Source organism: Homo sapiens, chromosome X (genome assembly GCF_000001405.40).
Source record: "Homo sapiens chromosome X, GRCh38.p14 Primary Assembly".
Classification (NCBI taxonomy): domain Eukaryota; kingdom Metazoa; phylum Chordata; class Mammalia; order Primates; family Hominidae; genus Homo; species Homo sapiens.
The window spans coordinates 41,175,576-41,190,431 of record NC_000023.11 but is presented as its reverse complement, the minus strand read 5'-3'; the positions used below and the strand labels follow the sequence as shown (position 1 = coordinate 41,190,431).

General features: G+C 37.0%; 1 protein-coding gene across 8 annotated transcripts in view; it reads right to left on the bottom strand.

The window, feature by feature from the left end:
- Positions 1 to 14,856, bottom strand: part of USP9X (ubiquitin specific peptidase 9 X-linked) — a 151,135-nt gene that overhangs the window by 46,148 nt on the left and 90,131 nt on the right. For all 8 annotated transcript variants that reach the window (NM_001410748.1, NM_001410749.1, XM_047442548.1 and 5 more), the window contains 5 exons: positions 6,304 to 6,434; positions 5,757 to 6,035; positions 3,790 to 3,915; positions 2,315 to 2,440; positions 957 to 1,123 (listed from right to left, as the gene is read on the bottom strand). In NM_001410748.1, coding sequence (NP_001397677.1) covers positions 957 to 1,123; positions 2,315 to 2,440; positions 3,790 to 3,915; positions 5,757 to 6,035; positions 6,304 to 6,434 — 829 coding nt within the window. The remainder of the gene's footprint in view (positions 1 to 956; positions 1,124 to 2,314; positions 2,441 to 3,789; positions 3,916 to 5,756; positions 6,036 to 6,303; positions 6,435 to 14,856) is intronic.

The window sequence follows — 14,856 nt, the reverse complement described above, 5'->3', positions numbered from 1 at the left end:
CTGGACTGGATTTCTTCAAAGAACTTACCCAAGGACCTTCTTAAAATAGGTGATATTCACACTTTAAACCCACTAAATCACTTTAGACTCTAAAGTGACATTCCCACTTCAGACTCTACATCCTCTCGAGTGGGCAAGTTGAACCCTACCCCCCACAGCATGTACATTTTTAAAACTTTAATTATTACTATGTTTCATTTCAACAAATGACTTATTGTGAATTTACATCAACCTTTCATCAATGAATTTTGTCATTATTGAATGGCATGTGATGGAATGATGAAAGTAAACATTTTCTGTGTCTTTTCACAAAATACAGATAAAACAAGTTAATTACATACAACAGTGACACAAATTAGAGCCCAAGTTAATAAAGTTACCATATACGAAGATCAGGATCAGACTGATACAAGAGGATGGAAACCAACATTTTCTATAAATCTGACTGACTTGCAGAAAAAGAAACCCAAAACAAAATTACTGCCACTGATTAAATGCTCTTGAAATGAAAACATGAGCTTTATAACTGATCTTTATTATCAGTGTAAACTGCAAAAGTTCTTACAATGACCCTGTCTTACAAATTTCATATCAAATTCTGTTTGGCTTTAAAAAAAACCTGGCATCTAGGAATCTAAGATAGGAGGCTAATGTCCTATATGATTTAAATCTTGCAAACTAGATTTTTAGAAATAGGCTAATCTATATACCTCCCAGGTAAAACTAAATTCTAAGATTAGAAAAAAATCATGCTTTGACAATTAATATTGGCATTTGCAGAGACTAAAACCAAACATTTAGGTTAAGCAAAACACTCTTAAATAATAAAATTTTCCTCAATACCAATATGCCATAGAGACAATAAATATTTAATTTTGGGGACACATTTTGCCAGCCTAAATTAATTCACTCCATTTACAAAAAGTAAGTTTCTTACAATTAAAAAAGATACTTACTTGCTGTGACAGTGCAATAGTAAGTCAATGATGAATGTCTGCCAAGCCTTTTCTTTACTAAGAGCATCTAAGGCTGTTGGAATCAAGGCAAAACATAAGGTCATCACTTCCAATGCTTCACAGCAAACCTGTTCGTCTTCCAAGTCTGGCTCATTGCCTGCATTGGTCTGTAAAATTACAATCAAGAACAAATTACCCAAAGAAGTATTTAAGAAAAATCTCACACAACTTCTAGTTAGTGCTTAAAACTCATCTGCTCACTTAAACCACCTGGCCTCAGCCTCTCCATGGCTGCATGTTAACTCTTGAGGCCCCTTTGGAATAGTCTGGAAATGACTATAATAGAAAATAAAGTCTAATTCCATTATTTTCCTATGTCTTCAGGAGGGCTGAAGGAGCACACTGAGCACACTACCTATCTTTTTGAGACCTTCTGAGTTGTTTACTTCTGAACCAACAACCAATCCTTTCTCAGGAACCACTGTGGCATAGCACTTAGGTACTTTTGACTAGTTCCATTATGTTGCTTGCCTATTGTGCCATTTTATTCAAAATCAATTGTCTGACAACTATTCAGGAAGGGTTTCAAAGGCTTACAACCTAAAATATGCCTGGGGAGGTACCTAATGAATTCTAATCTGACTTTATTAATCAAAAAGTAGTAACTACAGTACATGCCTGAAACAGAATAAGTATTCAGTTAATAAGCTGAATGAATACCCAGGGCTGTGCCAGACAGATACTATGGAACATCAACATATATCCTGGGCAAATCAGGGTGATGTTGGCCATGTAAAAGAAGCTCTACCAAGTCAGGGAAGTTCCTGTAACTCAATTTCTCCTTCTAAATATGTAGCATCAGGGGCAGGTACACATGATAAATCAAAAAGCCAACCACAGCTTCTCTTCTGTAGATAATTTGCTTAATCTAATAGAAGGTCAGGAATGATATCTAATTGGCTAACACTCTTATTTTTGACTGCTTTAAGACAATCAAATAAAAATACTTAAATGCCATACCATAACTGACAAACCAAAATTTACGCAGGACAGAAAGATGATAAAAGAAAAAAGAGAATGGGATAAAGCAAATTCAGTATGAGACAATTATATCTGACCCCCACAAGAAGCAGCAAAAGGCAATTTCATTTAAAAAGCAGCCACATGGCACGATTCTTAAGTACTTCATTTTCAAAGTAAAATTTTACCATATTCTCAACATAGCTATCAATTAATTTTCAACCATTAAGATGCAAGTGATTCAATTTTTAAAAATAGCAAAGCTAATAAAAATCAAACCACATGCACAATTAAGAAACATTTGTTTACAAGGAATATAGTTCTGTGATAATTCTTACCTTCTCATAAATTTTAGTGATTTCTTCATTTGGGCTAAATACTAGCTGTAACGACCCACATCCTGATGCCCAGATAATTTTTTGTATAGCTCTAATTACACAAATATCAGGCATATATCTTGAAGCCTGCAAGATAACGAGTAAATAGAACTGTTGATAGAATGAGAGTGAAATTATGTTTAGAAAAACAAAAATGTTTCACTTTGTAAAGGAAATAGGAATTACTGTGTAGTACCATTGTTTTTAAATTCCCAAGTTGCCTTTGTCTTAAAAAAAAAAAAAAAAAAAGGTGGGGGCGGAGGGCCCTCTGGCTCTGTCACCCAGTCTAGAGTACAGTGGTGTGATCATAGCTCACTACAGCCTTGAACTCCTGGGCTCAAGAGATCCTCCTACCTCATGCTCCCAAGTAGGTGGAAGTCCAGGCATCTGCCACTGCACCTGGCTTATTCCCCACCTCCTGCCTTTAAACAGCAATACAACAAAGTACGCTCCCCAAGTTCTCTAGCTCTTTACTATTACATTTTACTACTACAAAGATGACAACCTTTCCACTCGTAGTTTCTTATCCAAGAAAAATGAAAATTTATGTCTACACAAACACTTGTACACAATGTTTACATCAGCTTTATTCACAGCCAAAAAGGGAAAATGATCCAACTGTCCTTCACCAAGTATATGGATAAACAAAATGTGGAATATTCATAATGGGTACTAGTTAGCAATAAAAAGGAATGAACTACTAATCCACACAACACAGGTAATTCTCAGTCATTATTCTTAGTGAAAGAAGCCAGACACAAAAGAACACACACTATAATCCACCTATATAAAACTCCAGAAGACAAAAAATACTCTCTAGGGACAAAAAGAGCAGTAGTTACCTGGGGAAAGAATAAACTGCAAAAGTGCATAAAGAGTGATGAAAACATTCGGTTTCGACCGCAGCAGTGGTTTCACACATATATGTCAAAATTCACCGAATCTGGGCCGGGCATGGTGGCTCATGCCTGTAATCCCAGCACTCTGGGAGGCTGAGGCAGGCAGATCACCAGAGGTCAGGAGTTCGAGACCAGCCTGGCCAACATCATGAAACCCCATCTCTACTAAAAATAAAAAAATAGCCGGGCATGGGGGGGTGGGTGTGGCACCTGTAATCCCAGCTACTGTGGAGGCTGAGGCAGAATAATCACTTGAACCTGGGAGGTGGAGGTTGCAGTGAGCCGAGATAGCACCACAGCACTCCAGCCTGGGCAACAGAGTGAGACTCCGTCTCAAAAAAAAAAAAAATCACCCCATCTGTATACTTTAAAAGGATGCTGTTTATTATACATAAAGTTGATTAAAAACAGAAAGTACTAATATTAATAGTAGACAAAACTGATATTAAGGGGACATTATCTATAGAATGAGACAGTGATTAAAATAAGTGGGCCTAGGAAAGTTAAAATTGTGACAGAAGTCTTGATAAAACTAACCTCATCAGATATCTGCTGAGCAAGACGAACTGACACATTTCTAAGCATGCACTCGGATGATGGATTAGGAATGCTCTGAAGGGCACTTTGTAGCACCACTGCTTGATCATGGGTAACTTGGTTGATCTGAAAAAAGTTAACCATTTTATTTGGAGTAAATAATTTGTACATAACCAGACCTAACCAATTGCTCTTCATTCATCACCCACTCCTGCAGAACGACTTCCTTGCATATACACATTATAGAACCTGTGGCAACTTACACAAAAAGCACTGCCAACAAAGTGGGCTTCCTCTCTTCCTTGTGCACTGTAGTGCCACGTGTCTGCAAATCCCCATTCTAGAGCAATCAACTCGTGTCTCTAAATCTGGCCTCAGCTTAACTTGCAGGGGATAATGATACACTAAATAGACTGGTTCCCTTCTAGAGACTCAGTAAAGTATTGTACATCTTTTATGTACATGCCTTGGGCAGACCCTGCTTGTATTCCCCATTGTTACCACATTTTTCTTTGGAAAAAAAAAAGAAAAATTAAGGAATACTGAAAAAGCAGTAAGAGGACTAATGTATGAAAGGTACCCTAGTTTTTACTTAATGCTATAATCAAGTTGTTAAATCAGTGACAGATTAATTTCATTACGTAGTTGTTAGCGAGGTAATTCTGACTGCCTTCAAGTTGTAACTCCCCTCCTATATATATATACTGTAAATATTTCAACAATATTATTTTAAGATATTTCTATATTACTAAGTTTGCATTGGGCTCCCTACTGTGAGCTCGTTGAGATTAGAGGTTATTATGTACCTCTGTATCCATAGTGGCACATTCTCTGAATAAATACTGAAGAAAGGTGAAAGTGGAAACATGTAATTGTTTTCTGTGTACTTCATTAAGTATCTGTGTCAGGGATCATGACAAAAATCTGTTTTTATCCTAACAAGAAGCTGTCTTTTTACTTACCTAATAAGAACTACTTTAAAAAAAAAAAAATCCTAACAAAGATGGGACCTGTGATACAAAACAATATAAAATTTAAGCCATTTTTTACAGAAAATTCGTAACACACATCAAAGTGTCGAAAGTAGTATAATTAACTCCCATGTACATATTACTTAGCTTCAGGAATTATCGCCAGTGAACCAAATTGTTTAATCTGACTATCCTCCCTTGCTTTCCATCACTTCTCCACCCCAGGATTGTTTTTAAGCAAATCCTAGATATCATGTAATTTCACCTGGAAGTATCTTAGCAATCACTTCAAAAATATAGGGGGCTCTTCCTTTTAAACATAACCACAGTATTATCATAGCTAAAACAATTATATGTGATATTACCATAAATATCAACATTCTGATCTCCACAATTGAAAACTAAGCCATTTCTAAAGAAGAAAATCTTTATCCCTGAAGTTTTACCTTCTATCAGTAACTTAGTAAAACAATCATTTATGATGTTTATAAAACTTTACTTAGAATTAAATGCATAGTTTGATCTCTCATAAATAAGTATCAAATTCTGGCATGTCTTGAGAATTTTTTGTGACATGGATCAAGAATGCCACCAAGGCAGAAACCGAGTCAGAATAAGCTCAGAACTTGGGTTTAAGCCCAAGGTGGGAAGGGAAACAAGCAACAAGATAAACCAATTATATCTCTTATTACAATCTGTGTCTTTATATATCTACCAGGCACAAGTTAATAAGAGATTCATATGGAGTTTTTGTTAGGTTTAAAATAAATGAAAGTCAAGCAAGATTTAAGTGGGCAGGGAGAAACTACCCTCAGATTATCAGCTGTCAGCGAAAAGTATTTGCACTTTTAATACAAACATCATAAAGAAAACCTCTGAAATAAGGCACTTTGAACATTGAGTCAACCTTGAACTCTACACTTAAAATACTAATTAGTTTTACTTTAAAAATTGCTATCTACTATTATAAAAGGATTTTTAAAAAGTCTGTATTACCTGTGTCATGGGATTCACACCTTCTACACCTGGCTGACAAGCTTCTGCCACAGCTCGAACATGACCATAGCCAATGGCAGTTAGCAAAAGCTTGGCTATTTTAAGAGCATTGAGGTAGGCACCCCTTCGAGTTTCCATATCTGCATTCGGTAGGAAGTTATTTCTGGTTAGCATACTCAGTACAAGGGGTAGGCCACCACTTTTCAAGAAGTGAAACTGAAAATCAGAGGAATCATCAGCCAGAGGTGCACCAGCAGGCATTAACAAGGCATAGACTACCTGGAAAAATAGAGAAGAGGGGGAGAGGGCTGTATTAAAAGATTTAAAAAAAAAATAACTTCTATTTGTACTATTGTCAGTGCCAAGAAACTCTTGACCATCTCACTATTATTTATTTCAAATTAATATTTCATTTCAAAACTACTTCATTACAATTTTACCCAAATCATTCACCTTACCATATGAAAGGTCAAATTTAAAGAACACAGAATAAATTTAAAAGGAAAAACAAAGAAAACAACAACAACAAAAAACCCCAAAAACTAACCTCTGTTAGATATAGCACTTGTGAGGCTGAAGGACCAAAGAAAAGTGAGTCAAGAGATGGACTAAGGCTGCTTTCTCCAAGTTTGGCATGGTCTAAACAAATAGCTCTTAATTTTTCTATCGTTGTGCTATCTGGAGGAAAAAAAGAGACAGTGTGAAAATGTAATTCATGTGTTCATACATATTTAACTTTTGATATCTTGAAGACCATACTAATATGGAATAACAATCCACTCAGTTGGGCTATAGGCTCAAACTTCCTAAGACATGACAAGACCTGGAATGATTAAAAAAGAAAAAAAAAATAAACAAAAACAAAAACAAAAAACAGGGCTCTTTAATCAGTTACTCTCAATACAAAGCATCTGCTACTCAGGGACCTCAAATCAAGATACTCTCCTCTCAGCCACTGGAGATGGAAAAAAATACATTTCAAAAGGAAGTAGTTCTGACTGAAAATAACAAGAAAAAAATTATAAACTCTTCCCTCTAACCTCTTTATTGTTTGCCCCCTGACACTATATATTAACTGGCTTGCTTCACTGAAAGGAATGTAGTGATATCCAAGAAAATGAACCCTAAAAAGCAAACATCGAAAAAGGGTAAGTGCCTATGTACATTCACCTCAAAGCAAGCAGAGCTTTTGTCCTTTTGTCATAATATTAAAACATAATTTTAAATTACGGTGAAAAGACACAGTGGGGGAAAAATAAGATAATCCCAAAATACAATTAAGCATTAGCTACCAAATATTCCAACTTTATTAATAGTCAATCAACCTTGGAAAGTATTTTGATGATCTAAGGTAACTGCCCTATGATTAAAAAAATACCTTGATAATTTTTTTTTTTTTTTTTAAGTAAAAGCTTCTTTTAAAGAAAAGAAAAATAGGTCTGGGCGCAGTGGCTCACGCCTGTAATCCCAGCACTCTGGGAAGCTGAGGCAGGCAGATCACCTGAGGTCAGGTGTTCGAGACCAGCCTGACCAACATGATGAAACCCCATCTCTACTAAAAATACAAAAACCAGCCGGGCGTGGTGGCATGCGCCTGTAATCCCAGCTATTCGGGACGCTGAGGCAGGAGAATTGCTTTAACCTGGGAGGCGGACGTTGCAGTGAGCCAAGGTTGCGCCACTGCACTCCAGCCTGGGCAACAAGAGCGAAACTCCATCTCCAGAAAAAAAAAAAAAAACTATGATTTTCTTTGGGTAAATGAATTTTTACAGGCCTAGAAATAGCAGCCATTATCTTACAAATTTTTCAGTTTGTGTTGAAACTGTCACTTCTCTCTACTCTGAAGGCATAGCGACATATAATGTAACCAATTAAAATAGTTTTTATAATAAAATATTTATAAATATCTTCTCGTGTCATTGAATATTCATCTATATCATTTTATCTGATTATTAAAATGACAATATTATTTTACCAGTTTAATTCCTATTATTGGGCATTTAGGTTTTTACCTCCCCTCACCTTTTTAAACATCAAAGATCCTAGCAGCTGAATTTTTATAATTTTCACCATGCAAAACCCTGCAAGCATAAAGAAGTTGAACATAATGCCCAAAGACTTGACATACATTGTCAAATTACTCCCTAAAAGCAACCCAATTCATATGCTTAACCACTGTATCTCATAGTATCTTGCTTGGCTTAAAAATATTCTGAGTGAAGGATGGAGGCAAAGGGGAGTAGGAGGAAAAAAAAAAAAAGAAGAGCTCAAGAAAAGGAAGTGGTGGATATTTTTTTTTCTTCTTTGAGACAGGGTCTCACTCTGTCACCCAGGCTGAAGTGCAGTGGCGTGAGGACTGCAGCCTCAACCTCCCTGGGCTGAGGTGATCCTCCCATCTCAGCCTTCTGAGTAGTTGGGAACCACAGGCATGTGCCACCATGCCCAGCTAATTTTTGCATATTTTTTTGTAGAGACAGAGTTATGCCATGTTGCCCAGGCTGATCTCAAACTCCAGGGGCTCAAGCAATCCTCCCACCTTGGCTTCCTGAAGTGCTGGGATTACCAGCGTGACCCGGTCAGAAGTAGTGAATTCTAAGCAAATCATTTAATGGTCTTGAATTATAGTTTACTCATTTGAGAGATCTGAATCAAAGTTAACACTCAGTGGCCATTCCAGCTCTCATATTCATCCCTGATTATATCATGTTACATTTTATAAAAAATGGAAGCCAGAAAAATTTAAGCCAGTCATAATCTTGTCATCCAGAGTTTATGACGATTTTGGTTTCTTTCTAGCCTTTTGAAAAGATACCTAAGCTTTGGGAAGCCAAGATGGGAGGATCACTGGAGCCCAGGTCAAAACCAGCCTGCGTAACACAGCAAGACCCCCATCACTACAAAAAAATTTTCAAAATAAGCCAGGTGTGGGCCGGGCGCAGTGGCTCATGCCTGTAATCCCAGCACTCAGGGAGGCGGAGGTGGGCGGATCACTTGAGGTCAGGAGTTCAAGACTAGCCTGACCAACATGGTGAAACCCCATCTCTACAAAAAATACAAAAATTAGCTGGGCGTGGTGGCGTCCATCTGTAATCCCAGCTACTCGGGAGGCTGAGGCAGGAGAATCACTTGAACCCAGAAGGCACAGGCTGCAGTAAGCAGAGACTGCGCCACTGCATTGCAGCCTGGGCGACAGTGTGAGACTCTGTATCTCAAAAAAAAAAAAAAAAAAAAAAAAAAAAAGTCAGGTGTGGTGGTGTGTACCTGTAGTCCTAGCTACTCTTAGGCAGGAGCCTCACTTGAGGCCAGGAGTTTGAGGTTACAGTGAGCTAGGATCATGCTGCTGCACTCTAGCCTGGGACACAGAGTAAGGCCCTCTCTCTTTAAAAAAAAAAAAAAAAAAAAAGAAATGAGAAATAGCATTTAAGCTATGTGTCCCAGGTGAATTAACAATCTCTCTGTGCTTCAGTTTCTCCGTCTTTAAAATACAGATAAAATTAATAATTTCCTTATAGGTATGTTGTGTGGTTTATCAGTGCTAAGAGCTTACAACAGACTTTTACAAAAGATGGTATTACATATAGAGAGGACTGCAGAAGTTTTAAGTTTAACAGCAAATCATAACATGGGCACTTGGCTTCAGGCAAAGATTCAGAATGAAAAGAAGTGTAACATTTGGGTGATCATTTAGCATTTGTGCACTCTTGGATGTATTTTAAATGGAGGGGAAAGAGAGAATCATTAGCTTTTTTCCTAGTCATTAACTATACCTTATAGAGATGATGTGTGGTTTAAGTTGAGTTTATCAGTGCTAAGAGCTTACAACAGACTTTTACAAAAGATTGTATTACCACGTTTTAGACACAAACTCTTAAATAAGAAAGGAAGCAGGAGCTCTAAGAAAAGGAAGTGACAGAGAGTGGTTTAATGTTTAATGAATACTAAGTGCCAGTCCCTAGGCTAGGGGTTTTCCATACATTGTTTCATTTAATCCCTGCAATTACACAAAAAAGTTATCATTATCCCAGTTCTAAGGATAAGGAAGCTCTAATAAACTATGAAACTTATGTTTAACGCCATAGAGTAGCAATTAGAAGCAGGATTGGAACTCAAGTCCATTTGAGTCCAAAGCCTATGATTTTCTGCTGCAATACAACCATTACCAGCTTTTTCAAAAGCTGGCTGTTTCAAATTTAGGTATTCTAGTTTCATTATATAAAACATGAAGAAAGCACCCACTTCAAGTTTCTTGCCTTAACTGTCTGACAAGAGCTCATGCTCGCCATCTGGTGGCATTAAGCGCCAATCACAAGATCAAGGATTCAGTGGTGGGTTTGTGTTTTTACAGTATGTTGTGAAGGTTGAATCTGCAGTAAAGCACTGCAAGGACTATTACTGAAATACTAACAAATGAAACTATGTAAATTCTAAACGATGTAACAGACAAGAATGAAATATATCTTTTGAGAGAAGCCTTAGCTAAGAATCTAATGTGAAATGCTTCTGTCCCATAATAATTGCAAAGCAAGATGAGAAGCCCAACAAGGTGTTTAATTTAGAAAATGGAGGTAATAAAAGCAGAAGACAGCTTTAAAAATTATGTCAACTAAATATGGTGTACTGCACTATATTTATCAGTACTTCATCCCCAAACCCCACTAAAATGAGAATGAATGAATATAAAAATACATAAACTCAAAAGAACATAAAAACAGAAGGGGAAGCAACACATTAAACAGCTGTCAACAAATTACTGACGGTGTAGTGAAGATGGGGATAGATAGTTGGTTTAGCTGAAGTTGTGAAGTTGGTTTAGTTGTTGTGAAGGCAAGGAGAAGAGGGTGCCTATAAATTAATGCCCCACTAAATCTGAGAAAAGCCAAGGGTATGAAAACAACAAACACTTGGGAAGGCACAAATGATTCGAAGGCCTAAAGACAGAGGCTGAAGACTGATTAAGAAGCCTTTCCAACTCCCTCAGGTTTCAGATTTCTCATTGCTGTAGAGATACAAATACGGAATGGAAGATGACTAGGAAGCTGGACTGGTACAAGCGTGAACCTGTGTTAGTTAACTGCAGGATACAAAAATCAATATACAAAACTAAGTAGTGTTTCCATTTGCCAATAGCAAACTATCTGAAAGAGAAATCAAGAAAGTTATCTCACAATAGCTACAAAAATATAAGATGCCTAGGAATAAATTTAAGCAAGGAGGAGAAAGATCACTACAAAAAAAACTGATGAAAGAACGAACACAGGACACAAATAAATGGAAAAATATTCTATGTTCATGGGTTGGAAGAACAAATATTGTTAAAATGTCCATATTACCCAAAGCAATCTACAGATTGATGCAATCTCTATTAAAATACCAATTATATTCTTCACAGAAATAGAAAAAACATCCTTTGAGGTGAATCTGCAAGGTAAAACAAAAAAATACAAAAAACACTCCTAAAATTCATATGGAACTACAAAAGACTCCAAATAGCCGAATCAATCTTGAGTAAGAAGAACAAAGCTGAAGGCATCAGCTACTTGACTTCAAAATTTACTATAGAGCAATAGTAACCAAAACAGCATGGTATTGACACAAAAATAGACACAGATCAATTGAACAGAATAGAGAACCCAGAAATAAATCCACATAATCAGAAACAACTGATTTTCAACAAAGGTGCCAAGAACACACATTGGGGGAAAAGGCAATCTCTTGAATAAAAATGGTGTTGCAAAAACAGAATATACATATGCAGAAAAATGAAACTAAACCCCTATTATTCATCATATGTAAAAATAAACTCAAGATGGGTTAAAAACTTAAATGTAAGACCAGAAACTATAAAACTACTAGAAGAAAACACAAGGGAAATGTTTCATGTCATTAGTGTGGGCAAGGACTTTTTGGCTAAGACTTCAAAAGCACAGGCAACAAACACAAAAACAGACAAACGAAATTACATTAAACTAAAAAGCTTCTACCCAACAAAGGAAATAAGACCACAAAAAGACAAATCTACAGAATTGGAGAAAATATTTGCAAACTATGCATCTGACAAGGGGTTAATATCCAGAATATATAAGGAACTCAACAGCAAAAAATCCGATTTTTAAAATGGGCAAAAGACTTGAATAGATATTTCTCAAAAGAAGACATCCAAATGGCCAACATGTACATGAAAGCACACTCAACATAACTAATCATTAAGGAAATGCAAATCCAAACCACAATGAGGTATCACCTTACCACAATTAGAATGAAATAAGGATGACTTGGCAGGGGCACTGTGGTTCACACCTGTAATCCTAGCACTTTGGTAGGCCGAGGTGGGTGGATCACCTGAGGTCAAGCGTTCGAGACCAGCCTGGCCAACATGGTGAAACCTCGTCTCTACTAAAAATATAATAATTAGCCGGGCATGAGGGCAGGTGCCTGTAATCACAGCTATTCGGGAGGCTGAGGCAGGAGAATCACCTGAACCCAGGAGGCAGAGGGTGCAGTGAGCCGAAATCACGCCACTGCACTACTCCAGCATGGGCAACAGAGCAAAATCTCCGTCTCAAAAAAAAAAAAAAAAAAAAAAAAAAAAAAGATTTAAACCTCGGATTTTGATTTCTAAATACCCTTCCTTCTAAAAACTCTGGAATGGCAGATTCCAGAGCTGGGGCAGAGGAAATACTATAGATAAGCTTGAAACATCTTCTCATACCAGAAAATAATAAAGTACAATAAAGTACCTTAAAAAAATTGAGGTTGTATGTCTGGGTCTAACCTATAGGGGCTTCCACTGACCATATCTAGGACAATTGAGCATCAAAATAAATAACCATTACAATGGTTATAACCCAATGAATAAAATAAACCCATAAGAGTGATCATATATGACAAATATAAAGGCGAGAAAACAAAGCACTACCTTATAGAATGTCAACTAATAAATGTAGAAAGGATGACAAAATTAAAACAAAATTACCATTTTGCAACCATCATAGTAAAAACATTTAGGCAACAATCACAATAGATGATAAAACAAATGTTTGATGAGGAAAAAGATAGTTACGAAGTCTCAAAGCATCTCTCTACACAAAGCATCTCTCTCCTTTAGAGGAGAAACCTGGCAGCTATCAACTAAGTGATCTGGGTTAATGTCACCAAAGACACAGTGACATGTGTCTCTCAATGTGATGCTCTTAGACACATCAACATACAAGTAGTACTCTGTCAAATGTACAACCTCCATATAATCATCAGAACAGATAAGACCCAATGAGAGATATTCAGCGCAACTGACATGTGCCATTCAAAAACAAAGTCACAAAAGACAAAGACTGAGGAACTATTCCAGATTAAAGACAACTGAAAGAGATACCGAATAATTATGCAATGTATGAACCTGGATTTAGATCCTCAACCAGAAAACATTGTTATAAAGTCCAATACTGAGGAAAGTGTCAAAATATGAAAATGGTCTGCAGATTAGATGATATTACTGTATATGCTAAATTTTTTTTATTTTGAATAATACTATGTTAATGTAAGTGAGAACATTCTTGTTTTTAGAAGACATATACTAAGCTATTTAGGAAGAAAAAGATGATTGTCTACAACTTGTTCTCCAAATGTTAGGAAACTTTTGCCATCACTACGGCAAACTGTTAATTACTGAATTTGGGAGCCAACTGTATTCTTTGTAAACAGTTTGAAATTATTTTAATATAAAAAGCTAGTTAAAAAACTCAAGGACAGTAAAAGATGATGCTGGAAAAAGAAGAAAACATAATATCCATCAGTAATAGCCTAGAGAGAAATAATTACAGTCTGTTATGCTATAGCACGTTTCTATAACCCCAATTAGCTCACAATCAATTGGCAAATATAATGATGTCAGTATAATGCAGAAGGTGAGTTTGTTCATGTGTGATTTCTTCCAGGCAACAGTAGCCAGAACAACAGAACTGTTAATCTTCAACAAAAAAATTAAAATGAGCAAAGCAAAAAGCCCCCTCAGCTGGGTAGATGTGTAAGCAGAAGCCTGTTTCTTTTTAAAGGAAAATTTAAAGTGAATACTTGCATCAAGGGCTCATCTTGTGAGATACAATCCTAAACTAGACTTTCATGGACCTTGGCAGGTTCTACTTCCCCCTGTGCCTATCTTAATGGTAGCCCATCTATCTCAGAGCTCCACTCTTTTGCACTGTATCTCAGCAATGTCAAGTCAGCATTTCCTCTGTACTGGTTTTGTGTCTTTTTACTATCTCCTGAGGAAGCCTTCAGCCACACTGAAGTACCTGCCTGGACTGTCCAAATTATCTCTGAGGATACTAATTATCATTTTATGAGTGCTCTAATTAAACTATGTGCAAGTTTTAAAGGTAGTCCTATGTTGGGAATTACAGACCATGAAGGAGGAGGAGGGAGCCCAATAAGTGGGTAGAGCTCAGCATAAAGATTCAACTCAAGCAGAGCGAGGAGTGTCCCTGGGGTAGAGACCCAACATTCAGAGACAAGAGTCCTTCTGCGTTCAAAGAAAGGGTGGGGGGTCTGGAGATAACTGATTAAATAGGAAAATAAGTGAGAGGATAACAGAAGCCAGGTTTTTCATTGTCAGAAAAGAGAGTTTGGCCAGGCATGGTGGCTCACGCCTGTAATCCCAGCTACTGGGAGGCTGAGGCAGGAGAATCCCTTGAACCAGGGAGGCGGAGGTTGCAGTAAGCCGAGATTGCGCCACTGCACTCCAGCCTGGGTGACAGGGCGAGACTCTGTCTCAAAAAAAAAAAAAATTACAAATATAGAAAGGGAGAAAACTAGAATGAAACTGTGATAGGCTGGGATGGGAGGAAGTCGTGTGACCCCATGGTTTTGTAAAAACTTACACACATATATATATTCATGTGTGTGTGTGTATATATATAGTAATAGACTTAAATGTGGATACACATACACACATTCCTTAGCTCTAACTGCTTAGAGAGCCAGGGAGCAACAATACATCGATAGCAATGAGTGCAATAAATGTCCAGATCTTGGTTTCTAAACACCATTCTCCAGGAAAATAAATCAAACAGGCCTCCTTGGAGAAACAGCCAATTTCAGGACTGGG